At 41.7% G+C, this 27040-nt stretch overlaps 1 protein-coding gene across 2 annotated transcripts in view, besides 4 other annotated features; it reads left to right on the top strand.

The window, feature by feature from the left end:
- The first annotated feature begins 1975 nt into the window (after positions 1 to 1975).
- Positions 1976 to 27040, top strand: part of FAM110B (family with sequence similarity 110 member B) — a 154262-nt gene continuing 129197 nt past the window's right edge. For both annotated transcript variants that reach the window (NM_147189.4, NM_001377989.1), the window contains exon 1: positions 1976 to 2259. The gene's annotated coding sequence lies outside the window, so the exon portion shown is untranslated. The remainder of the gene's footprint in view (positions 2260 to 27040) is intronic.
- Positions 2303 to 2352: a silencer, noted in NCBI's record as "silent region_19213". NCBI's record gives its function as "represses an Ori minimal core promoter by ATAC-STARR-seq in GM12878 lymphoblastoid cells {active_cell/tissue: GM12878}" and the evidence as "EXISTENCE:reporter gene assay evidence [ECO:0000049][PMID:35858748]".
- Positions 2373 to 2422: a silencer, noted in NCBI's record as "silent region_19214". NCBI's record gives its function as "represses an Ori minimal core promoter by ATAC-STARR-seq in GM12878 lymphoblastoid cells {active_cell/tissue: GM12878}" and the evidence as "EXISTENCE:reporter gene assay evidence [ECO:0000049][PMID:35858748]".
- Positions 2427 to 2927: an enhancer, noted in NCBI's record as "H3K27ac hESC enhancer chr8:58907533-58908033 (GRCh37/hg19 assembly coordinates)". NCBI's record gives its function as "activates a minimal SCP1, AML or CMV promoter by ChIP-STARR-seq in primed H9 embryonic stem cells {active_cell/tissue: H9 hESC(primed)}" and the evidence as "EXISTENCE:reporter gene assay evidence [ECO:0000049][PMID:30033119]".
- Positions 21573 to 22073: an enhancer, noted in NCBI's record as "NANOG-H3K4me1 hESC enhancer chr8:58926679-58927179 (GRCh37/hg19 assembly coordinates)". NCBI's record gives its function as "activates a minimal SCP1, AML or CMV promoter by ChIP-STARR-seq in naive H9 embryonic stem cells {active_cell/tissue: H9 hESC(naive)}" and the evidence as "EXISTENCE:reporter gene assay evidence [ECO:0000049][PMID:30033119]".

Here is a 27040-nt window from a genome sequence, read left to right on the forward strand (position 1 = left end):
TTTGGGCGCCTGAGGCAGGTGGATCACCTGAGGTCACGAGTTCCAGGCTAGCCTGGCCAACATGGCAAAATCCCGTCTCTACTAAAAATACAAAAATTAGCTGGGCGTGGTGGCCCGTGCCTATAATCTTAGCTACTCGGGAGGCTGAGGCAGGAGAATTGCTGAACCCAGGAGGTGGAGGTTGCAGTGAGTGGAGATCATGCCACTGCACTCCAGCCTGGGTGACAGAGTGAGACTCTGTCATCAAAAAAAAAAAAAAAAAAAAAAAGAAAGAAAGCTAAAACTCATTGGTTACATTCCTGATTTTCAAAGCATCGATCATAGGGGAATCTTTTATGATTTTATAAGTGAGTCTTCTGGAAAGAAACTTAACTCAAAATGGCATAAGCAAGAAAGACAATTTATTGGTGCATTACTTCAGAAGTTCAGGATTTGACTGGTTTTAGAGGTGACTGTCTTCGGATGGCCATTGATGTCATCAGGGCACTTTTCTGTCTCCATTGCTCAGTTTGGCTTTTTTTCTGGTTTTGTTTTATTCTCCAGTAAGTTGACTCCAGCTGCTGCACGCATATATGATATGGTCCCAGGAGCTGCCCTGTCAGTCAGGGAAAGGACCCTCCTCCTTTGTTCTCAGACGATATTCTAATTGGCTGGCCTGGGTCATATCCCTCACAATGTCAGGAAGCTCTGTGGGCTAGTCACACCCAATGGGAGGGGGAAATTCCTAAAAGGAAGGGATTGGGGCAAAGAAGTGGGGAAAAAAAGTATACTTGAGAGGGAGAGAAGTTGGTTCCATTTGCTATGGGAATGATGAAAAATAGTTTATTTCTATTGTTATATGACTTTTGGAGTTAATGGAGACCACAACGTAATCTGTGATAACAAGGAATGTATTAGTATGCCAAAGGAAAGTTCCATTTAAATCCCAGTATCATGTCACTTTCTTAAAATGGTAATCTTTAAATAGAAAAAAAATATATTATTATAAAGTCTGAGTTTTATTTAGTTGGCAACTTCTTAACTATTATGAAACAATAGATTCATTGAATTGAAGCACAATTCAAATATAAACGATCTTTCTGAGAAAATGAGATGAGTGAAATCGTATTGTTAATGTACCAGAGATTAAAAAGAAATCCTTGCTCAATATTTTCTAGAAGAAACAATTATTTTGTGAGTCCATATCCCATTCAAATTCATTTTGATAAAGATGGATTTTATCTTTTAGACTTCCCAATAGCAAAATTAAATTACAATGTGTTTAGTCTTCCTAAAACAAATCCTCTCCTGAAACAACCAAGTTATTAAGCAAATCTAAGCAGAAAGTATTCTCAAATACTATATTAGGCGATTAATAATGACGCACCCCAAAGCATTTCATTTTAAAACATCAGCTGGCCCACATTTCAGAGGTAGTACATCATGCTTGATATTTTTCGTTATTTACTATTTTCTCCAAACATTTTTTTGAAGTCTTAAAAATGCCTTCAGAAATTAAGCTAGGACGCTCCATCTGAGTATATGAAAGTTAGTAAACAGAAAATGTCAAGCACCAAGACGTTTGGATGGCTGGACTACCAGGTGGGGTTATCTCATTCAGGGCACAGGCTCTACGTCTCCAGTGCTGAGCGATCTGCACTGGGGTGGCAGTCCGAGATCCAGCGGTATCACCGGGTGGGAGCAGGGTGGGGGTGCTTGCGTGCGGACATAGGTGGGAGTGGGGGATAGGGAGGAAATGGAGGCGCCGACCGAGTGGAATGGGGGGTGGGTCAGGGATGGGGTGGGATGGGCATCAGTAGCGGGGTGGAGATGTTGAGAGAGAGGCAGGGCTTGGAGTGGAGGTGCGAGAAGGGTGGGGACCCGGAAGGTGGGGTGGGGGCGGGATGGAGGCGGGGCGGGGTGTACGAGGGGCGTGTACACTGGCTCAGGGACACGCGCTCTCGGCCACAGCAACTGGCTCCAAGTTCCCTCCCTCACTCTCCGGCGAAGCCTGCCTGAGCCCTCCCACTCGGTGCAGACCGAACCATCGCGGCCGCCGCCAGCCGGGCCCTTCGCGGCCGCGCGTCCTGGGCCCGTTCCGCCAGCCCCGTCTGCTCTCTACCCGCGGCCCCGCGGCGGCGACCGTGAACACTCGGCGGCCCCTACAGCCCGCTCTCGGCCCTTCGTCCCTCGCGGGCCCCGACTCTCCCTCCTTGCAGTCCCCCGGAGCCTGGCTCCCGGCTCGGGCCGCACCGCCAGGGACTGGGGTGAGCGGCCCAGGTAAGACTGGGCCGTGGGGGCCGGGAGAGAGACTGCTGGGCGGGGGTTGGGATTCGGGTTCAGTGGTCGCGCCGCGCCCCGACTGCGGACAATGCGGGAGCTGCGCGCGGCCAGGCGGCGCGGAGCTAAGCCGGCTCTGCGCCTGCAGCTTCCCCGCCCGGCCCGGGTCTCCGTTGAGCCCGGCCTCACTGGCCCAGGCGGACCCCGTCCGGCTTTCTGGGCTGCCGGGGGAGGCGCAGCGCCGCTGCCTGCCCCGCGCCCCCTCTGCGCTCGGCTTGGCTGCACGTCCCGGGCTCGGCTAGGAGGCTGGGCACGGGGCCGGGGCTGGAGCCGGGGTTGGAGCCAGGGCGGGGGGAAGCTGGCCGCGCTGCGGAGCGGAGGTGGGCTCCGAAAGCGCGCCGCCGGTTGCTGCTGGAGGAGTGGGACTACGAAGGATGGGGACTCCGCTCGGCCACCGCTCCTGAATGGTCTCTAATCTCGGTGTTAAATACTTTATGAGAGTATCAATACCACCTAATCCTTTGCTGAGAATTACTGCTAGAAATGTAGATTCTGAGGTTCCGAAAGTTTGTTTTTGGTTACCCCCTCCAGCTCCTCCCGTGGCCTCAATTGTCTCTATTTTCTTTGAAAGCATACAGATTTGAAATAGAATTAAATTCTCCTTGGCTCACTCGTGTCTCCATCACCCAGCGGAGCTCATAACTTGGCAACAAAGCCCATACAGGCTGTGGGAAGCCGCGATGCCTGCTGCCCAGCCTGGTGCCCTCCTATTGTTTAGAGCTGGAGCTGTACAGTGTAAATGGCAGTGACAGGTCTCCCTTAAGCTGGCTCGTGGGGAAGGAAGGGAGATAACTTTGCAGTGTGCTTAAATTACTCTGGAAAGTGGAAAGAAAACACCTGGTGCTCAGCTTTTTAACCCTTTCAAGTTGTTATTCAGATTTATTGACACACACACACAGAAAAGTGCAGGCTTTCTTTCCTGCCTAAAAAATAGGCAACCTCTGTGTTCTTCCTCACAGCCAACTTATGTCCTCTGCAAAATCTGGCACACATCTGTGACAACATTGCACTTCTGGCGTAACTGGTCTATTTCTCAAAAGGGAATATGATAGTAGAATAAGCATTTTTGCAGTATGGATAGTAGGACTTCCATTTTCTTCGTTTCCTTTGTTGGTGAAGAAGGTATTTATTATTTTCCCCCCAGTTTACACGTAGTGATTTCTGGGAAGATACTTGTATTAATTTCTTGTACTCATTTTTGTGACATCACAACCCCTGGTCATTCAGGTAAGCTATTTATTAAGCATAGTTATTCTAGAATAAAGGTGAGTTAATGGTAAACTAGAATCCTTCACTGATAACATCCCATTGGTTTACCCTACGGTATTTAATCTGTAGTATTACTATAGATTGTACATGTAAAGTCACTAATTGAACAGAGAGGTGGTTGGTGCCTTGTTAGCCTGACATAAAGTGCTTAGAACAGTGCCTTGCATATAGTTCTAGGTGTCAGCTAATATTACTTTTAATTTTTCTTATCAAGCTATGTGTTATTTTCTGTTTGGAAAATGGTCGTTTTGATTTTTAAAATTCTGATCTGTTAGGTCATGATCTATTTTAAGTCTGTGGTTTTAATTTTAGATCAGGGCTGAGGTTGGGTTGTTATTATGCCTATGACTGACAGGCTTCTCTGCGTATCCTTATGCATGGTGAGGGTTGATTTAATTCATCTTATATATTGGATCTCTAAGGGCAAGACATCAGTCTTGAACCCAGTCATGCCCTGGTGCCTTTCATAAGGAGACCTGGTTGTCTTTAAGAGCCTAATTGTTTAAAGAGAGGCCTCCACATTAGGGAAGACCTGGGCTCTGAACCCCATTCCTTACCTCCCCTGCACTCCCTTGTTCTCTAGGTTTAGAATCCCACTTCCAATTCCCAATGGAAAGAACCGTTGGTACAGCAGAGTTAAGTAACTCTCACAGTGTTAAAAGATGATAAAAGATAAATATGTCTACTGTATATACAACAACCAGAGCATTTAATTCTTTTTCATGCTTTAAAATATTTTAGAGCAGGATTTATAGCCTAACTAGCTAAGATAAGAAAACTCACTTATTTAAAACTACTTATTTGCCATGTGTTAGTAACCAAAGATTGTGTTTCCTATTTAGATATTTTAAATGATTGTCAGGAGTTTACTCTTATTTCATGTTCTCCTTTCCCCTTTAACTTTGAAGTGACTTTTTAAAAAATCGTGATTCCTAAATAACTTAGCTAAGCGAAGGCATGGTATTAACTCTTAGGGCCCTGCAGAAGCAAAACTGCTGTAGGCACAGTGGCTTGGCAGTAGATGGTGCTGTGGACAAGGCTGGTGGAGGAGGCATATGTATGGTCTAGTAGAATCCCAGGGATTAATTTAGCAATCCCATTGTTTGCTGCCCCCCAAAACATACTCTTACCAACCAGACACTGTCCAACAATCTTTTTGGGAATACAGTTTGTTTTTAAATTTGTACTTTATATGTTCAACATTTGTAGACTATTGGCCATTTTTCTGTCTGAAAGCCATCGCATTTTAGGTGCTAGACAAACATTGCTTGTAAAAATATTATTATGAAACTGTTCACTTTATTTTATTTTCCCATTGTAGAGTCAGATTGATCAGCTGAGCCTAGAGATCTCCAACTAATCTGAACTTTTTTTCATACTTAACTTTTTAGGAGAGAGAAACAAATGATCAGAAACCTACTTGCATCTTGAATTTATTTAAGAAAACAACTTCCTAGGGCCAATTCTCATTTACTTTGATTTGCATCATTCTTCTGGCTCCTGGTATGATGCAGTGAGAATTGATATTCAGGATGAAGACTGAAGTGTTGCAAAGTCATGACTCATCCAAGAAAAATACATTCATTCTATTCAGTACAGACACCAAGGCTAGAAATCTAGTACACTCAGAAAAAGGATTTTCTGGTTCATAATAACAGTTATCTCTAAGGGCTGGCTCTGGGACCAGCAAAATCCTCGATGGTTGATGGTGGGTGTGGTGTCTCCTCTAAGAGAGAGTAGGTGCTGTTATCCCCTTTCTATAATACAAGTGAAGGGAAGTGACTTATCTGAGTCACATAGCTAATATGTAGCAAGGTGTGTGTGTCTCCAGACCCCATGAATCTTTCTGTCATGCCAGGAGGAATAACTTCTGCCTTGTACATTCAGTTGCTGGAAGTGTTTGTGTTTCATACCTTCTTTTCAGGTTTGATGTCAACAAATCTCTTCTCTATAACTCATTGACATACTTTGAATTTTGTGGTTAACATTTGATTATCAAAGAGTCTAAAATGAGAAAAGGTACGCCACTTTTAGTTTTCAGGGGAAACCTTTTAAGATTTCACAATACCTTGTTAAAGATCACTTGTTTTAGGAAGGTTGAGGAGAGAGATGGCACATTTAGCTTCTTTGAACTATGTAGACTCTGATAAAAATGTCTTAGATTTAGAAGTAATAAAGAATGTTGGGTCTGTTTTTGGCTTCGTTGCTCAGGTGTTCTGAGAGCAGCACAGCTCCCCCTATGCCAAGTGACTTTCTTTCCCTTAGGTTAAAGGAGGTTTATTCATTTTGATCACTTAAGTACATCAGAGGGGATTATGATGATTTTGGAAACATTGAATCAAATCTTCATTTCATATATTCATTTATTTTATTTTAGACTTTAGGCAGAGCCTAATATAATTTTTTAATGTTGATTTTTTTGTACTGAAAACATTATAGAAATACAAAAATGTAATATTTGGGAATTGTTCAGAAGAAAACACATATTATACCCAAAGTGTTTCTCAAAGAAGCTAAATGTAGCATTAACTCTAGACTTTGAAAGGATAAGTTATGGGATGATTTGCATGAAAGATTTTGGGGAATAGTTGTAGGAAACTTAGTTTTTCATTCTTTGTGAATGTTAACATCCAAACGATTACAGATAATTAAGATATAAGGCTTCTCCACTGTTGCAGAATTCTTTTTCATCCTGTTTTAAAACAACCTGAGTTTGTTTCTGAATGATCCTTTTGTAATATAAAATTAATGAACTTAAATCATGCCTATGTCATTTTGACATCTTAGATTTCCTTATACTTATGGGAAGAAGGGATTGAGTGAGATTTTTACGTTTTTCACATTTTACAGTTCGTCTCATAAGGAAACTCCCATAAGAAACTGGCATTCAAAGACATAAGCCTTGTTTTTTGTTGTTGTTGTTGTTGTTTTAAAGGAAACTTTAGTAGGTGAAGCAAATTACTTTCTTTGCTCAGTATGTTTGGTGATAAAAATAGTGAACATGTGGATGATTAAACAGTTTTAAACCGGCATTAAATCTATGACTTTAAAATTGTAAACACTTTAGAGAGAAGTTCAAAAATGAATACCTAAGCAAAAGGAAACAGTATGTCATTTGGTAGACAGGTTTCTGGAAGAATCAGAAGAATTCTGTGGTATGTTTTATACATCAGGGCAAGATCAATGGGTTTTGAAATTGTCCAGTTCCAGATGAGGCTTTTAAAAATACAATTCACAGACATATGGGAAATTTTTGAGTGGTTGTGTTGTAATGCAAAACATTTTTTTCCTCACAGCCCCATTAGAAGTTTATTTCATCTTTTTAATTTTATTTTTTAGGAGGAATCACATATAGCCTTCAAAACGATCATTCTCGCCAGTGATTTTTTTTTTGTCCCATTAACTGGAACTTAATATAAATAAAAAATAAGTAATTATGCAAAAGAACATAGTTTACTAAGTTCCTCTACTATGATGATTATATTAAACAGATATTGATAGAGGACGTATTGTGTGCCAGGTACTTTGAATAAACATCAGTCAGGAAAGACAAGGTTCCTTCCTCTTTGAGGCTTTATTGTGTAAAGTGGGAAAATAGATAATAAATTAAATGAATAAATGAAAAGCGAATTTAAGGCAGTAATAAGTGCAGTCGAGAATGGGGGCCACTTTTCCATCTGGGCTTGGTGGTCTGGGAGGGCTTTACTGAGGACTTTAGAGCTGACTTCAGTGAAAAGAAGGCAACATGTTTGGGCATGTGTGGGACTAAATATATATACACATCCATGAATGTGGAGTGTCTACAAAAGGGTTTGAAGATAAGTCTTTGCATTTTATTCATCAAACTTCACCGAAGGACTGTAGTCAACAAGCAAAAACTGTGCAAGATTAAAAGCCTGAAGAAGAATACACAAATATTCTTATTTATAAAACGAGTATTTATTTTAAAAATTCTTATTTATAAAATGACCTCTGCAAGGTCTCTGGGCATTGAGGATGGCCCATGCAAAGGCCCTGTGACAGGCAGAACCTGCCCTTGTGAGGAACAGGAGATAGCAGCCAAGGAACCAGGTCAGCAGGGCCTTATGGACCACAGCGGAGTTGGGGTTGGGGTGGAGTGTTTCCATTTAGTTTGAGTATAGGGGAAGCTGCCAGATGGATGATGGATGATGGATGGTAGATTATTGTCTCAGTTTCTGCTAAGTTCTTTTATGTTACTTATGATATCACATCTCATTGTAATGACTTTTGTTAGTACATTGATTTTGATGCTGTTTGTATTTTTCAACAGGAAATCATACTCATTTTAGAAATAAGAATATTTGTGTATTCTTCTTCAGGCTTTTAATCTTGCACAGTTTTTGCTTGTTGACTACAATCCTTGGGTGAAGTTTAATGAATAAAATGCCAAGATTTATCTTCAATCCTTTTGTAGACACTCCACATTCATGGATGTGTATATATATTTAGTCACACACGTGCCCAGACATGTTAGTCAGTTTACTTTCTCTGGCTACCACGGGGGCCACCATTTCTACTCTTGGTCAAAAAGAGACATTTGGAAATTGGGCATTCAGCAATTTTGGGAAATACCAGTGAATCCTGATTACGCTTGTGTGTTTTTACCACATAGTTAAAACAAGGTGAGAGTTGGGAGGTTCATTGTACAGTTGACTGTGAGTTGGGGATTTAAAAAAAATTCCTTTAATCTATCCCTAGCCAGTGTCCTTTCAAATGATCATTTATTGGAATGTTGTGATTTTAAAATCAGATTTTTTCCCCCCAATACATTTTATTCTTGTTTAGTGACAATGATAGAAGAAGAGAAATCATTGTGTGGGTTGTTAATATGACTAGTCATGGGTGCTCTTCACAGCTTCTGTTGGCTTTGTTCCAACCTGCAACATGCACCCGGGTGTGTAACCATAAACCGTTTTATAATGTTTTGGTAAAGTGGCCACAGTTTTTGCGGGGATAGACTGCCTGCCTAGTAACTTAGTTCCTTAATTTAATGAAGATTTTTTTTTCTAGTTCTTCTTAGTGAATCTGTATGTTCCTCTCTTATTGGTGGAGAGTAGTACAGTCATATAAATATATATTTTGTGGGTAGTTGAAATGTTCTTTTAGGTAGTGCCAGAGAATATCTGTGGTCTGCCTGTATTATTTGGAAATTGACTTCAAATGAATTTTCCATGGAAGCAGTGAAAGTGCCACACTTGTCATGGAGCTAGTGTGTGCAGGTGTGTGTGTGTGTGTGAGAAAGGGGCCTAGTGTTCAGTATACACATAGCATTTCCTGTTTTTCCAGTTAGAAGTGGCTCTGCCCTTGCCTCAATGTGACATGTGTTTTAACTCATGTGGCCTGATTTGCTTGTTTGATTTTTCTTACAGGTATTTTTCATTCCAGGATTCACTAGCGTTACAAGATCGAACTGTTTTGATTGTTCATCCCTGGTTGTTATCTCTACCAGCCTTTTTCTGAGTAATTTCAGTGTGAAGCATGCTGCTGTTTAGGTACTGTGAGTTATCCATAAAGGGACCAAATCGCAGGGCCCTTTAATTAAGCATACCGGCATATTAGCAAATACCTTTATACGTTTTGTGCCAGAGATACTTAAGTATCTTCATTTTCTTTGGACTTTTCATTTTACCAGATGGTATTAATTATTCACATATACCTTGTATTAGTGAGAGAACCAGAGAACCAGAACCAATAGAATATACATAGAAAAAAAGAGATTTATTACAAGGAATTGTCTTACATGATTATGGAGGCTGAGAAGTCCCATGATCTGCTGTCTCCAAGATGGAGACCCAGGAGAACCAATGGTATAAGTTCTAGTATAAGGTCAGGAAAATATAGATGTATTAGCTAAGCAGCTAGAGAGAGAGAGAGAGAAAGAGAGAGACAGAGAGAGAGACAGAGAGAATTCAATCTTTCTTCACCTTTTTGTTCCATTTGGGCCTTCTACTGGTTGGATAATGCCCACCCACATTGGGGAGGGCCTTTTCCTTTACTCAGTCCATCAATTCAATGCTGATTTCCTCCAGAAACACCCACAGGTACAGCCAGAAATAATGTTTAACAAGATATCTGGGCACCCCAGTAGACCAATCAAGTAGACACATAAAATTAACAATCACATATCTGTAATACAATCAGAGTCAGGTTTTGTTAAAACATTTTTGTAAAAGTATACTTCCCAAGTTGGTTTAAATGAGCTGACTCCAAGAGTGTTAACACCAGGTACCACTTCTCTAAGTCCTGCTTCTCTACAAAGTCTTTCTCAGTAGTGCTAGCAACATCATACTTTTTCCTTCCTGACCAACACTTCCTTTATTGAACCAATTGATGGCAGCATTTTTGGTGTATTCTTGGTTTTGTGAGTGTATCTTCTGTAAGACAGTAAGTTCATCCACAATGAAGACAGTATCTACTGGCATACCTTGGAGACAAATTGTGGGTTTGATTCCAGACCACCACCATAAAGTGAGTATTACAATAAAGTGAGTCACTTGAATTTTTTGGTTTCTGGGTGCATATAAAAATTATGCTTAAACTATACTGTAGTCTATTAAGTGTGCAATAGCATTGTCTAAGAAAACAATGTACATACCTTAATTAAAATACTTTATTGCTAAAAAATGCTGATGATCATCTGAGCCTTCAGCAAGTCATACTCTTTCTGCTGCTGGAGGTTCTTGCCTTAGTGTTGATGGCTGGTGACTGATCAGGGTGGCAGTTACTGCATGTTTGGGTAGCTGTGGCAGTTTCTTAAAATAAGACAGTAATGAAGTTTGCTGCATCAACTGACTCTTCCTTTCACCAAAGATTTCTCTAGAGCATGTGTTGCTGTTTGATAGCACTTTCCCCATAGTAGAACTTTCAAAATTGTAGTCAGTCTTCTCAAACCCTGCCACTGTTTTATCAACTAAGTTATGTAATATTCTAAATTGTTTGTTGTCCTTTCAACAGTGTTTAGAGCATCTTCAGCAGGAGTAGATTCCATCTCAAGAAATGAGTCTTTATTTTTTCATCCATAATAAGCAACTCCTCATCTGTTAGTTTTATCATGAGATTGCAGCAATTCAGTCACATCTTCAGGCTCCGCTTGTAACTCTAGTTCTCTTGCTATTTCCACCGGATCTGCAATTACTCCTCCATGGGAGTCTTGAACCTCTCAAAGTCATCTATGAGAGTTGGGATCAACTTCTTCCAAACTCCTGTTAATGTTAATATTTTGATCTCCTCCCATGAATCATGACCGTTCTTAATGGTATTTAGAATGGTGAATCCTTTCCAGAAGGTTTTTGATTTACTTTTCCACTTTTCCTGGATACATCAGAGCAATCAGTATCTATGGCAGCTATAGCCTTACAAAGGGTATTCCTTAAGTAATAAGACTTGAAAGTTGAAATTACTCATTGATCCATGTGCTGCAGAATGAATGTTGTGTTAGCAGGCATGAAAACAACATTTATGTCTTTGTACATCTCTATCAGAGCTTTTGGGTGACCAGGGGCATTGTAATTGAGCAGTAATATTTTGAAAGGAATCTTTTTCCTGAGCAGTGGGTCTCAACAATGGTCTTAAAATATTCAGTAGATCATACTGTAAACAGATGTGCTGTCATCCAGGCTTTGTTGTGTAGAGCACTGAGAGAGTAGACTTAGTATCATTCTTAAGAGCCCTGGGACATTCAGAATGGTAAGTCAGCATTGGCTTCAACTTCAAGTTACCAACTGCATTAGCTTCTAATGAGAGAGTCAGCCTGTCTTTTGAAGCTTTGAAGCCAGACATTGACTTCTCCCTCTAGCTATGAAAGTTTTGACCAGCAGTCCCCAACATTTTTGGCACCAGGGACCAGTTTTGTGGAAGACAGTTTTTCCACGGACTGGGGGATGGGGTGGGGGAGGGGGATGGTTTCATGATGATTCAAGCTCATTACATTTTTCATTAGATTCTCCTAAGAAGCACGCAACCCAGATCCCTTGCATGCACAGTTCACAATAAGGTTCGTGCTCCTTTGAGAATCTAATGCCTCCACTGATCTGACAGAAGATGGATTGCTTGCCTGCCACTCACCTCTTGCTGTGCAGCCTAGTTCCTAAACCCAGGGATTGGGGTCCCCTGTCCTAGATGACATCTTCTTCCAATATAAGGCCATTTTGTCTACACTGAAAACCTGTTGTCTAGTTGTAGCCATCTTCATCAATGATCTTAGCTCCATATTCTAGATAACTTGTGCAGCTTCTACATCAGCACTTGCTGCTTCACCTTGCACTTCTATGTTATGGAGATGGCTTCTTTCCTTAAATCTCATGAACTGCCGGGCACACTGGCTCATACCTGTAATCCCAGCACTTTGGGAGGCCAAGGTGGGTGGATCACTTGAGGTCAGGAGTTCAAGACCAGCCTGGCCAACATGGCGAAACCCTGTCTCTACTAAAGATGCAAAAATTAGCCAGGCCTGGTTGTGCGTGCCTGTAGTCCCAGCTACATGGGAGGCTGAGGCAGGAGAATTGCTTGAGCCCGGGAAGCGGAGATTGCAGTGAGCTGAGATCGCACCACTGCACTCCAGCCTGGGCGACAGAGCAAAACCCCATCTCAAACAAACAAACAAACCTCATGAACCAACGTCTGCTAGCTTTCAATTATTCCTTTGCAGCTCTGTCATCTCTCTCAGCCTTCATTGAAGAGAGTTAAGGCCTTGCTCTGGATTGGGCCTTGACTTACGGGAATATTGTGGCTGGTTTAATTTTTTATCCAGACCACTAAAACTGTCTCCCGAGAAGCGATAAGGCTGTTTTGCTTTCTCATCCTTTGTGAGTTAGCTGGAGTAGCAGTTTAAGTTTTCTTCAAGAACTTTCCTTTGCATGCCCAACTTGGTTCACTGTTTGGCTAAAGAGGCCTAGTTTTGACCTGTCGTGGCTTTTGACATGCCTTCCTCATTAAGCAAAATCATTTATAGCGGTTGATTTAAAGTGAGAGATGTGTGACTCTTCCCTTCACTTTAACACTTAGAGGCCTTTGTAGGGTTATTAATTGGCCTCATGTCAATATTGTTGTGTCTGAGAGGATAGGGAGGCCTGAGCAGAGGAAGAGATTGGGGCAGGGGCGGGGAGCAGTCAGTGGAGCAGTCAGAACACATACATTTATTGGTTATGTTTGCTATCTTTTGTGGTTACGGTTTGTAGTGCCCCAAACAATTACAATGGTAACATTGAAGATCCCTGATCACACATCACCTTAACAGGTATAATAACGAAAAAGTTTAAAATATTGTGCGAATTACCAAAATGTGATACACAGACCAGAAGTGAGCACATACTTATGGCACTGATGAACTTGTTTGATGCTGAATTGCCACAGACCTTCTATTTGTAAAAAAACATTATCTTTGGAGCATGTTAAAGTGAAGTGCAGTAAAGCAAGGTATGCCTGTGTATTTTTCCATGGTGAACATTGTCTATGAAACAAAAACAGTGGTGTCGTTGATACCCCTTTCCTCCCTAATCTGTGTGGTCTCTGTAAGGTGCACATGGAGATGACTATTACAGCCGTTAGCATCTCTTACTTTTACCAAGTCTGAGTCTCCATTTTATGAATTATCCCCAACAAAACTTACATTCAGGTGTAAAGTGATGGCAGTTACTTCGTACAATTACATCTTATTTAGAGGTTTCATTCCTATTTACTCTTCAGATTTTGACTAGGTAAAGAAGTGTTCTGAAACTTGAAAATAACATTTTCTGGTATAACAGAAGATAGTTATTTGATTTGATGGTAACTACCATTTATTGCCTAACGTGGTGATATCAGGAAGGAACAGGGCTCTTTATCATTTTTTTTTCAGAAACTGTCATTCACAGCTGGCTTTTCCTCCATTAGCACATGAAATCAATCACAATAATAATAATGACAATGATATTATTATTCAGGCAGATCCTTATATCATGCTTACTATTTCCTGGCACTATTTTGTACTTGCGTGATGGCTCTGTCAGTTTATGGTTGAAATAGTTGATGTGCTCCTGCTTATGTGCAATTTTAGCTTTGCTTTCTGAGAGTTTAGGTGTCAAGTAGTAAAGAACTGAGCAGTTGCATATAACTAAAACTTAATAATTTCTCTGAGTTCACTTTTAGACTCACTTGTTTAGAATGCTCTGGACTTTCCAACGGCTCTTCATCTGTTCCTCTTTGGTCCAGGAGTTAGTTTGAGACTAGAATCAACTACAGACACTGGCTTGGGATAAGGCCTAAGGGACTGTGACAGTAGTGGGTGGCCATGGCACCCTAGTGCTATGGCCATGGCAGGGTTCAGTAGGCTGACTGTGGGTCTTTAAACCCCAGGGAAGAGTTTTATCTAGACCTCCTAGGGTAAAACTGGCTGGGTCCAAGTGTAATAAAGCTAAAACTTCTCACTAAGGACATTTCAGTATTAGGACCTGAAGTCCACCCTTAATTGATTTTTTTTTTTTTTTCAATGCAGGGTCTCACTCTGTCACCCAGGCTGGAGTGCAGTGGCACGATCTCGGCTCACTGCAACCTCTGTCTCCCAGGTTCAAGCGATTATCCTGCCTCAGCCTCCCGAGTAGCTGGGATTACAAGCACGTGCCACCGCACCTGGCTAATTTTTGTGTTTTTAGTAGTGACAAGGTTTCTGCATCTCTACGTTTTGAACTCAGGTGATCCGCCCACCTCAGCCTCCCAAAGTGCTGGGATTACAGGCTTGAGGCCTGAGCCACTGGGCCTGGCTTAATTGGTATATATATATATATATATATATTTTTCCAAAACCAGAGTTTGCATTTTGGTCAGCTGATATGGTGATTATTGATGTCCCTAGTCACTGACACCGCTGCCATTTCCTAGCCAACCAGTATTTCAGTGCCTACAATGTGCCAGGCACCATGCTGCTACCTAGGTGGGTGGAAGTCGAGTCTTCCCTCGCCCTGAAGTACTGGGTAACTGTAAGCCCCATGGGCCTCTTCTCTTAGCTGGAATGTCATCTTCACCTTCACCATCTCTTAAAACGTCACTTCTCTGGTCTGAACCCCAAGTCACTGCCTGGTGTAACAGAAGTGAACTGCCCTCACAGGTGCTCTGTCCTCATGAGCCCTCTGAAATGTCCTGTTGCCTTTTTTAAGAAATGGCTTTAGAGTCCATTGCTATTGTTGAAATTGTCCATGCACTTTGTGTATCGGATCACGTGGGTCCCACTGTTTCCTACCAGACGCGGGTGATGCAGCATCAGTGGAACAAAGATACGTCTTTTTAGTTTGGAAGAAAAATGAGGTTTCATCCCATTTTCTTTTTACCATCACTTTTCCACCCCTCCATCCCTCTGCTATGGTCTGAATGTTTGTGGTTCCCCAGAATTCATATATTCAGATCTAATCCTCAAGGGGATGGTATTCAGAGGTAGGGCCTTGGCAAGTGATTAGATGATGAGGGTGGAGCCCTTATGAATGGGATTAGTGCCCTTGTAAAAGAAACCCCAGAGGACTCCCCTCCTCCTTCAGCTGTGTGAGAAGACAGTGAGAAGGTGCCACCTGGGAACCAGGAAGGGGACCCTCATCAGACGCTGGATCTGCTGGCCTTGATCTTGGGCTTCCAACCTCCAGGACTGTGAGAAATTTGTGTGGTTTATAAGCTGTCTAGTTTACAGAATTTTGTTATAGAAGCCCCAATGGACTAAGGCACCTAGGCATTATGCTAGGTGCTGGGAATACTTGTAACAAAAAGTAATGCAAATAGAATGTTACGTCAGAAGGTGTTATTTTCTTCTTTACATATTTATACGTAAAGTAACAAAATTCCTGTAAGATATATTTTTTCTATCAACAAGAAGGTAAATTTCTCGTGCCTAAAATAGCAAATATAGCTACAAGCAAGGCAGTTTTTATCTGTGCTCATAGATGTTTAATAGATTCATTGAAGCTCTGTGGTCTAATGAAATGACAGTGTAGGAGTCGTGAAAAGCTTGCATTTTTTTTTTTTTTTTTTTTTTTAAAGTCTCACTCTTGTCGCCCAGGCTGGATTGCAATGGCGTGATCTCAGCTCGGCTTACTGCAACCTCCACCTTCCGGGTTCAAGCGATTCTCCTGCCTCAGCTTCCCAAGTAGCTGGGATTACAGGCGCCTCCCACCACACCCGGCTAATTTTTGTATTTTTAGTAGAGGCAGGGTTTCACCATGTTGGCCAGGCTGGTCTCAAACTCCTGACCTCCAGTGATCCACCCTCCTCGGCCTCTCAAAGTACTGGGATTACAGGCGTGAGCCACTGCGCCTGGCTGCATTTTTTCAATTGTTATTTTTAATTAACATCTAATAGTTATACATATTCATGGTGTACAGCTTGGTATTTGGACACATGTATCTAATGTGTTATGAGTAAATCTGGGTAATTAGCATACCCAGCACATCAAACATTTTTTTGTGTGTATGTTAGGAATATTCAGAATCCTCTCTTCTAGCTATTTGAAAGTGTGTAATAAATTATTGTTAACTATAGTCACCCTGCAATGCTGTGGAACACTAGAACTGATTCCTCCTCTGTAGCTGTAATTTTGGAGGGGACTCAATGAATACTTCTCCGTGCATCTGAACTAAGGCTGACACCAGGTATGAGCTCCATGAGTGGGAGAGGCCTCCACACTGCAGGTGGAAGACAGGCCAGTATCCGCAGACTGTGTTCTTGCAGCTGATGCTCAGCAGCTCACCAGAGCCCGAGTCCCCATTGACATCCCTCATCCTAGTTTTTCTTCTTTATCTGACCCTGAAATACCTCTCCTGTCTGGCTCCTCTCTATTTCTGGGTACCCCTCCACCTTAGTTCAGGCCTTGGTCATCTTTTCCTTCCTCTCTGCTCTCTCTGCCTCTGAATAAAGACAAGAGAAGAAACAACCCCATCTTTATGATGCTCAAGTAACTTGAATGCACAGACGTAAATTATATCTCTGCCTGACCACTAGACAGGGGACTTGATAGGGGGACGTAAGTCACATTCCAGCCAGCGGAGTCTTGTGAATATCTGCTTTGGTCTTAAACCTCTCTGCTGCTTTGAGAGTAGTTTGTATCTGGAGATTTAGGTAGATTATATCTCGGGTGTTGAAGGAGTTTGCAGATGGGAGCGAAGTACCACTGTTGATAATAACCTGAGAGTTTGTGGAGAACACAAAAGGCACTGGGATCGAGGTAAATGCCTGGATTTTGCAGAAGGTACCAAGAAATCCTAGACCTTCACTGTACAGTGTAGGGGCCACGGGACACGTGGCTGCCCAGCACTGGAAATGTGCCTGGCCTGAATTGAGATGTCCTCCTGAAAGTGTAAGAACATGCCAGATTTTGAAGATTCAGTTTGAGAAAAGAATGTAAAATAACTCAATAATTTTTATATTAATTACATGTTGAAAGGGTAATATTTTGGATTTATTGGGTTAAATATATTATCAAAATTAACTTCACCTATTCTTTGATTTAAAAATATGTCTACATGAAAACTTAAGATAACATATATGGTTCACATTTGTGGCTTACATTATATTTCCATGGGATGGTGCCATTCTAGACTCTGTAATTCATTGATTTTGCTCCATCTCCTTGGCAGCATTCTAAAACATAGTGCGAAGCAGATGGTTGTGTACTTGTAGGAAAGAAAGTAGTAATAACTGAAAGCAAGAATAATTCTACTAAGAACAAATCATGCCAAACTGACCTCATTTTTTTTTCTTTTTATAGGGTTACTTGGCTAGAAAATCAGAACACTTCTGTAGGTTTATATTTGGATTTCCGTAACTCATTTGAAATGTGTCCTCTGATCAGGTCGAAGGCATTTTAGAGAGCATTGAGTTGTGGTTGATGGCACGGCTCTCTCTGTAGCTGGTGAAACTCGGTTTGAGACAGTGTCTCACTCTGTCATCCAGGCTGGAGTGCAGTGGCATGATCTCAGCTCACTGCAACCTCTGCCTCCCAGGTTCAAGTGATCCTCGTGCCTCAGCCTCCCGAGTAGCTGGGATTACAGATGCGCAACATGACGCCCTGCTAGTTTTTTTTTTTTTTTTTAAGTATAGACAGGGTTTCACCATGTTGGCCACACTGGTCTCGAACTCCTGACCTGAAGTGATCTACCCGCCTTGGCCTCCCACAGTGCTGGGATTACAGGTGTGCGCCACCATGCCCGGTCTCGTTTCTCAGTTCTTGATGGTTGTGTCAAGAACAGCCTGAGCTGTCCTCCAGCTTCCTATAGAGTTTGCTTCATTTCAGGAATGTGAGGGAACATACACTAGCCTCATTTGGGAAGAGATCAGGTTTGGTCAGGTTTTTAGTGCTCTAGAAGGTTCTGCCCCATGAGCCATACTCTGTTGAGTGATCTGGGGCTCATTCATTGAATACATTTCTGGAGTACTTACATGCCCTGGCACTGTGCTAGGTGCTGGGAGTAAAGATTAATAAGATGTCATCTGTAATCTTAAAGTTCCATCTAGGAGGAAGGAAAACAGCTTAAATGAAACCATAGTCCCTGTGGTAGCGCACCATTAGAGGCACATGTGTGTAGGGTGCTGGACTGGGCTAGGAATATCACTCCCAGCTCTGCTGGTTTGGTAAGATTCCACTTGAAACCTGATTTCTAACTCCTGCCATAAAGAATGGCTTAATTGTTGTAAAACTAAAATCATTATCTTTAATTGTTCATATCTCACAACTTAGAAAATTCATTTATGTGAAATTTTTCTACAGCTACGGTGGAAAGCTTGGCAATGTCTGCTTTGACAAATTTCCAGGACAAAATTATCGTGACACTGTTCTTTGGGAGGTGTACTGGGCCCAAGGACTAGAGTGGCCTTCAAACATTTCTCAAAGAACATCTAGCTTTGCCTACATGGTATCTGTTTGGCGGCATCCTTACAGAAGCAAAGAAGTCTACATTTTGGTCAGGTGTTTTGAACTCTAGCTAAGAGTTAGGAATCTACTGAGCTCTTTACAATCGAGGAGGTTTGTTTTCTGATTTGAGAGACCAAAATAGATGCCCTTTTCTCAACTAAGAAAGACCCTAAGGTTAAAGAAACAACGTTGCCTGTGGATTGAGGGTTCAGAGCCCTGGCTGGCATGGCAAATTTCTAAATTCCTATGGCTCTAAGCTCCCTAACAGTAGGAGTTATCAAACCCCTCCTAACACATTTGCCACCCAGACCACTGCAACTCTGACTGGATAGAGCGCTGGCCTTTCGAGCATCCTTTTCTAATAAGCAACTGCAGACATTAAACGGTTTCAGCATGCTTTTAGAGACTGCGCAGGAACTCTGTTTCCTATGGTTCACCTTTTGACATAAAGAGCCAAATTCCACCTCATTTTAATGCTAAAACCTCACCCCAAAGTGAACACGAGATGTATGTTACGTATATGTTTACCCACTGTGCACGCACTCAGCTCCTTCCAAACCTGTGGAATGTGTAGGACTCTCGTGTGATACAGACCCTGTGAGGCATAAAACCTGAGCAGTCCTCCCATCTTTGAAGAAAGAAAGAGAACCTTTGACACACACCCAAGATCTTCTCTTCCACGCCAGCAAACCAATATTGCCAGTAGAGCTCTCCTTTCTACTCTTTAGCCATCCTGGTCTTTTGGATGACATTTAGTTCTGGAAGATTATTTCAAGGATTTAGGTAGCCCATCCATGGCTTTGCTTCCATCAGCTTGTGTCTTCTAAGTATGTAGTAAGTGACTCTAGGCAGCATACAGGTGGCAAGGAGTTATGTTAGACCCCCTCGGAATCACCTTCGTGACTGAGTAGCCCTCACGTCTGTCACAGGCTCTGCTTCAGCTGAAGGATATTCCAGAGATGGCCACACGACATCTCACTGTATTTTGGTAGAGATTTTGTGAGGACCTCGTGCATTACTGCCTAGTGTACTCTGCACTTTACACACCTTTAACAACATGTCAAAAACCTACAAGGCAAGTAATTTGATTAGAAAGATGAACAGTCAACTTAGGCAAAATTGAGGTGAAACTATAGCAGGTTGGTAGGAAATTCTGACTAGTTTCTTCTCTAGCTTGACCTCTGTATTATATGCTTAAATTTTCTCTAGGTACTATAATTTTAATTTTCTGTTTTCCTGATTTTTTTTTGTTGTTGAAATATCTCACATATTTTTGGGAAAGAAGGTAGGGTTTAAGATAAAACTAAAGATCTTCTTAGTGTCATTTTTGGCTGGTAGTTGGTTGTGTTTAAACTCTACACCGAGAAGATGGAAGTTATTTTGTTCAAACTTTTATATTAAATGTCTAAATCAGGAGTGGGCAATGTTTTAATCTTTATTTATTTATTTTGATAGGTGAGAAAAAATATTTGTGTACTTTTTTCACATTCAAAATAAAAGGTTTTATTGAGTCCTAGGGGAAAAAAAATTAAGAATGATTTCTTTGAGTAGAAAACCTCCAAGGGGATTTGGTGCTGGTTCTGGGCCATGAAAATGGTTTGCTCCGGGCCTGTTGGGTGGTCACAAGTGTGGTGGCAGACAGCCCTTTCAGTCCCTGGGCCTGTGGAGGACTGCTGGAGGACATTTGGGGTTATCCCATTTCTTCCTCAGAGGAATGCTGCAGTCTGTGTTACTGTGGTCACACTTTAGTAACAGGGACATTGGTGCAAAGATGTATTCTTCAGGTTGTTTGGGGAGTGGAGGAGTGGATGAGGGACAGGGTCTAAATGGCTCCAGAGCTTGGGGTCCCGGTATCCTCCCCAGTCTGTTCTTCCCTTTCCTGGAATCTGAGGTCTTATCCCACCTGAGCTTGGCAAGGTGAAGTGAGCATTCCTATGACATTTGCCATCCCAGGCTGGTGTCTCCCTGCTGGGATGGCTCCCAGTGGCCCCAACTTGTGCTTCCCCCCGGGCTGTCACTTCTGTCAAATCCTCCTTCCCCCCAGACCTGGGAGGGGCTGTGGAAGGCCCCTGATGGGTTTTCTCTAGGATCTCCTTCTCCTGAAATGCTGTGTGATGTCTCTAGAACTGAGGCTGGCTGAGCTTTGCTTATCAACAAAGATTTCTCTCTTTACTGCACTAGATGGCAAATGCCTGCTGTTACAGAATCTTTCCCCAAAGTGGATCAAAGATGGAGTATCATCAGTATCATCGCAAGAAATGTCAAGTCTGGCAGAAGAGTATGAAAGGGGCAGCTTTGGGCTGTCCCCATGGCGGTCTTTGGGCACACATCAGGGGCTTATGGTGGGGAGTGGGTGTTGTCCTGTCTCTGGCAGTAGTCCCAGCCTGGCGCACTTTTTGGGGCTCAGTAAATAGTTGTTTATATATTGGAAAGGCCCTGGTGGGATGGAGGGATTTGTGAATTATGTGCGTTCACCACATTGCTGAATCCACGAGGGAGAGTGGTGGGGAAGCAGGCTTCAGCTTAATGTGCAGTCCCAGGTGACCCAAACCAGGATGGGCTGCCAAATAAAGTGGGCCCTCTGTTGTTCAGGGACACAGAGGGGGAGTCCAGTGGGGCTGCACAGTCATCTTTTGGTCCTGCATGCTGAAGCCGAGATATTTTTTATCTTGACACATCATCCTCACCCATAAACTACAGTTGCTATTGCTATTTCTGGCACCACCTTTTTTACTTCTCATTTTGGGTTTATTTTATCATGGAGCTCTGAGCCTGCCTGCTCTGTGGTAGACTCAGGTACTCTCAGGGACAAAGTGTTGGAAAATAAGGTCACTTCTCTCTTTAACACCAAAATAAACTGATAAATGCTTGTACGCAGAGTACAGAAGGAGTAAGGTAGCTGGCCTTTCGTGCTGGCATGCCTGTCACTGTGCTGTGAAAGTGACTGGGACATGGGCCTCTTGTGAACAAGGATTGACTGTGCACTAAGACGTGGCATCTGCTTGTGATGATCATGCTTTTGTCATCCGTTCTCTCTGGCTTGGAAAAGGCCCGAGCCAAACTAGAACTGTCAGACCTAAATTGGCGTAACCCATGTCAGTTCTTCCTCGAAGAGCCCTTCCGGATTACCTGCTTCAGTGATCCAGACTGTCTAGTAAGAACACTTAGGATCATAGAGCTTCCTGGGCCTCCCTCTGCCTAGCGGGAATCAGTGGGACTGCGCAGGGTACTCCCTGGGGGATGCTGATGCACAGGTAGCTTTAGGAACCCTGGATCTGGGTCAGTGCTTTGTCAACTGTAGCACACAGTCACCAGGAGGGCTATTCAAACAAATTGCCAGTTGCTCCAGAGTTTCTTATTCACACGGTCTGGGGAGGGCCTCGAGATCTGCATTTTCGCCAAGTTCCCTGGTGATCCTGAGCCTGTCTGGGTGAAGTCCTCATCTGAAAAGTGTGTAGTGCTAGGTCTGTGTCCCCGGACATAAGGTTATAAAGGTGGATGTCTTGCAGGGAAACTGCTGCAAAGGGCAGAAAGGGTTGTAAAAGTTCTCCCAGAGAAGATGACCTTTGATGCAACAGGCTTTAACCTTCTCATTGAGAATCTTCAGTGCAGTTCCTAATTTTTAAAATAAAACTTCTGTTTAATAAGTCACATACATGTATGTTTTCCCTAACTGCTTTGCATTTTTCTTTAATCTGTGTAGATTTTCATATTTAAAATGCAAGTTCAATTATGATTTGGTTTTGGGGTTATCGTTTATTAAACATTTTGGACATCTGGAAGCAAACCTATTATCTTTATTTTTAATTTTAAAAGAAAATGTTTTTGTACCATATTCTGCTATAAATAAAATATTTATAAGTGTAGTGATTATTAGAAATTTTTACTAACATCAAGACTTTAGGCCATGAAAATGTACTTATTTCCTTGGATTTAAAAATATTTTTACAAAATAACTTTCTTTTCTTAGGAATTTTAATTGTTTTAGTTGATGAGTTGATGTTCTTCTTTATGCTCAGACAGCTTGGGCAGTTTTTGTTTAAGATAACGTTAAAGCCGGGTGCGATGGCTCACGCCTGTAATCCCAGCACTTTGGGAGGCCAAGGCAGGTGGATCACTTGAGGTCAGAAGTTCGAGACCAGCCTGACCAACCTGGTGAAACCCTGTCTCTACTAAAAATACAAAAAATTAGCTGGGCATGGTGTCATATGCCTGTTATCGCAGCTACTCGGGAGGCTGAAGCAGGGCAATCGCTTGAACCCTGGAGGTGGAGGTTGCAGTGAGCCAAGATTGCGCCACTGCACTCCAGCCTGGACGACAGAGCAAAACTCTGTCTCAAAAAAAAAAGACATTAAATTTACACTCTCAGAAAAGGTGACATTAAATTTATACTCTCAGAACATTTGTTTTTCAACAAAAATGGATACAGATACTATTGATTAATTTTGGAGGAATACAGTGAAGATAATTTCTAAATTTAGTCTTAGGTCCTTAAGTAAAAGTGCCCTCAGTTAACTAAAACGTGTTCTTGAAAAGGCATGAGGGGCCGGGCATGGTGACTCATGCCTGTAATCTCAGCACTTTGAGAGGCCTAGGCAGGCAGATCACTTGAGGTCAGGAGTTCGAGACCAGCCTGGCTAACATGATGAAACCCCGTCTCTACTAAAAATAAAAAATTAGCCAGGTGTGGTGGTGTGTGCCTGTAATCTCAGCTACTCAGGAGGCTGAGGCAGGACAATCGCTTGAATCCAGGAGGTGGAGGTTGCAGTGAGCTGAGATTGTGCCACTGCACTCCAGCCTGGGTGACAGAGCAAGACTTTGTCTCAAAAAAAAAAAAAAAAGAAAAAGAAAAAAGGCATGAGGATTTCAAGTGAAATCCAGTTAAATGAGTATTACATAATTAAAATAGGTCCTATTTGGAAATAAATTTAACTCTTGGAATATTTAACTATTCCTAACTGTATCATTCAACTCATTCTATTTATATGGTTTAATTATATATTTGACCCATTTAATCTTAATACCTCACGAAAACAAAGCTATGTAGAGTATCTTTTAATCAGTTTTAGCATCTGAGAAATCTGATGTCTCTTTGGTGGATTTGGCCAGAGGGAACTGGAACACATGCTCTCATTGCCACTTTGATGGTATTTTTTAAATCTATGAAATAAATGCTTTTAGAAAATGATTTTACTGGGCAAAGAGAGCCAGGTGTGGAAGTAAAATTTGTATTATCTATTGTTGCATAACAAATGACGCCAAAACTTAGTGGCTCAAATAATACAGATTTTCTCTCTTCACATTCTGTGGGGATTCGGAGTTTCTTAGCAGGGAGCTTCTGGCTTGGGCCTCCCGGGAGGTTATTCTCAGATGTGGCTGGGGTTGCAGTCATATTGAGGCTGCACAGAGCCTGGAGGCTCCAGCACCCAATGTGGCTAAGCTCTGGCTCAGCTCTTTGACTGGAGAGTTGATGCTACCTGCTGGTGGGAGCGGGGAGCTCAGTTCCTCCCCAGCTTAAGCCTATCCTGGCGCTGCTTGGTTGCAGGTCAAATTTTTGGCCAGCCAAGAACCTGAAGGAAGATCTTTCATAATGTCTCAGTTTGGCTAGCTACCCAACTCCACGTATTCATCCTGTTTGCCTCGTGGTGTTGCCTCATGCCAGGAAGTGCTCCAGTCTGTGTTTGTCATGTTCTGTGCCCTCCAGGAGCTCATGATGCACCAGAGAAAAGGCTAAGCCCAGGGCCCAAGAGAAGCTGGTGCAATGAGCAGCATGGGCACAGCCTGAATGAGGGAGGGAGTGTGTCCAGGAAAAGCTTTCCTGAAGAAGGTCAGATTTGAGCTGAATCAGATGTGCCTGCCTTCTAAGAGAAGGTAGATGTTAGCCAGGTGAAGGAGTAGGCTGGAAGCAGGGAGTAGGGGGAGAAATTTAGGAAGGAAATGCTAGGCAGATAGAACAGACTTAGTGAACAGACTGAGGCTCGAAACAGCACAGCAAGTCTGGAGAACTTTAGCAGTTTACTTTTTCAGTGCCTAGGGAAATGTTTGAGTTAGGGAGAGATGCCAGGACTGGAGATGCTAGTGTGGTAGGTAAGGGAGTTAGTGCTTCTCAGTCATGCAGCTTGGATGCATGTGTTTCTTGCCCATCATGCATGTTTTCTTACTCATTCCTCAACAAAGATTTGAGCATTTACAAGGCTTAAGGCATTATGCCGCTTCATTGAACCCTGAAAGGTAGATAAGTCTGCATTTTATAGATAAGAGACTGGCTGAGGGATATTAATTGACTTGCCCAAGGTGATGTGGCCAGTGAGTAGCAGGGCTACATCTGTGTGAAAACCTGAAAGTCGAGTTAAGATGCGAACCAGTTCTTCATAAGAATCACTGGAGGCACATATTTTATATAAAGATTTCAGGCCTCCACCCTAGACTTACTGATGTCTAGGGGAAGGGCCTCAGGTACTCTTTACTATTGGTGAAGTGGAGAGCTTAGCTTTGCTCTCAACTTGAACTTGACATCAGTGAGAGTGGAGGAATTGTGGAAGAGGGTGTGCAGTTTCTTTTCTGTATGTGCTGAGGGGCATGAAGTCCAAAAGATGTTTTTGTTTGGAAAATTCTGAGTGACATTACAGCCTCAATCTCTTAGAAGATGTTTTCAAAGTCTCTAAAAAATAAATTGTGAAGAAAGATATCCACAAGCTTCAGTATCTTGGAATCAACACACAATTGGATTTTTGATATCTGGTTTGATTTGATATTTCATGTGAATGAGTAGCTGAAAGGTGCTAATGAGGTATTTAATACTGGTACTAGAATCAAAAGCTGAGAAATACCTGAACACAAAGACCAGACTGGTAATAATGTCATGAGATTCCCCAGGACTAGAGAAAAACATGAAGAATAAAATTACTAAGAATTATTCAAAAGAGTGTTTTGTTGTTAAGGATTGCTCTGTATGTCATAATGTACTGTTTTAAGCTCTTCACGTGTATTGGGTCATTTTATCCCCAAAACCAAAAATGTTATTGTTTTTGTATTTCACAGGGCTATAGAATGTGAAAAAATGTGTAATTTAGTTAATTGTTGTTTTTAAATGCTCAAACAAATGTATTTAATTTTTTAATATCCTTATAATTTTTTCTGCCTGTTCTATCAATTATTGAGTGCAGAGTGCTAAAAATCTTCACCTGTGATTGTAGATTTATCTGTTTCTGTCTTTAGTTATATAAACTTTTATTTCATTTAGTTGAAGTTCTATAATTAGGTACATGCACATTTAGAACTCTCAGGTCTTTATAATAATTGACTCTTTGATCATTATGTAATGCCTTTTCCTTGTCTTTGGAAATACTTCTTGTCTTAAAGTTTACTTTGTCTGATATTGAAATAGCCACACCAGCTTTCTCATGATTATAGAGTTTGCATGGTATATATATGTATATATTTTTTCCATTCCTTTATTTTTAGTATACCTCATCTTTATCCTTTAAATGTGTCTCTTATAGTGTACAGTTAGATAGTGCTTTTTTTATTCAGTCTTGACAAACTTTCCCTTTTAACTGAGGGGTTTAGTCCATTTACATTGATTGTAATTTACAATGATATTAGACATTGATACGGTTGATTTTTAAGTCTATTACCCTATTTTTTGTATTCTATTTGTTTGATCTGTTTGTTCCTTCTTTCTTGCCTCACTTTGGCTTAATCTAGTAATTTTTCGCATTTTATTTTGTCTCCTTTGCATTTTAGCCAAGGTTTGGTTTTACTTTTTACTGGTTGCTCTAGGGATTACAATAGATAGATAGATAGATAGATAGATAGATAGATAGATAGATAGATAGAGAATCACCATCTACATTGAATGAATATTTTACCACTTCACATTAAATGTAAGAATCTTACAACTGTATATTTTCCTTTACGCTCCTCCTGTCCTTTGTGCTGTTCTCTATTTTAGTTGTATGTTTGTTGTACACCTCACAATACATTATTTTTTACTTTTCAGCCAAATATCTTTTTGTAAATGTAAAAAAGAAAAGGCCAGGCGCGGTGGCTCACGCCTGTAATCCCAGCACTTTGGGAGGCCAAGGTGGGCAGATCACAAGGTCAAGAGATCGAGACCATCCTGGCCAACGTGGTGAAACCCCATCTACACTAAAAAAAATATAAACATTAGCTGGGTGTGGTGGCACATGCCTGTAGTTCCAGCTACTCGGGAGGCTGAGACAGGAGAATCTCTTGAACCCGGGAGGTGGAGGTTGCAGTGAGCCAAGATCACACCACTGCACTCCAGCCTGGCGACAGAGTGAGACTCTGTCTCAAAAAAAAAAAAAAAAAAAAAAAAGGAAAGAAAGAAAGAAAGAAAAGAAAAGAAAGAAAAAAGAAAAAATATTTATGTATAAATCCACACATTTGCCATTTCTTGTGTGCTTCATTTCTTCCTGAGATCTAAATTTTTTCCATTTGGTATTATTTCCCTTCAGCCTGAAGAACTTTCTCTATTGTTTATTATAGGGTAGGTCTGCTGGTGATTAACTTTCTTAGCTTTCATTTAGCCGAAAACTTCTTGAA

Source organism: Homo sapiens, chromosome 8 (genome assembly GCF_000001405.40).
Source record: "Homo sapiens chromosome 8, GRCh38.p14 Primary Assembly".
NCBI lineage: Eukaryota > Metazoa > Chordata > Mammalia > Primates > Hominidae > Homo > Homo sapiens.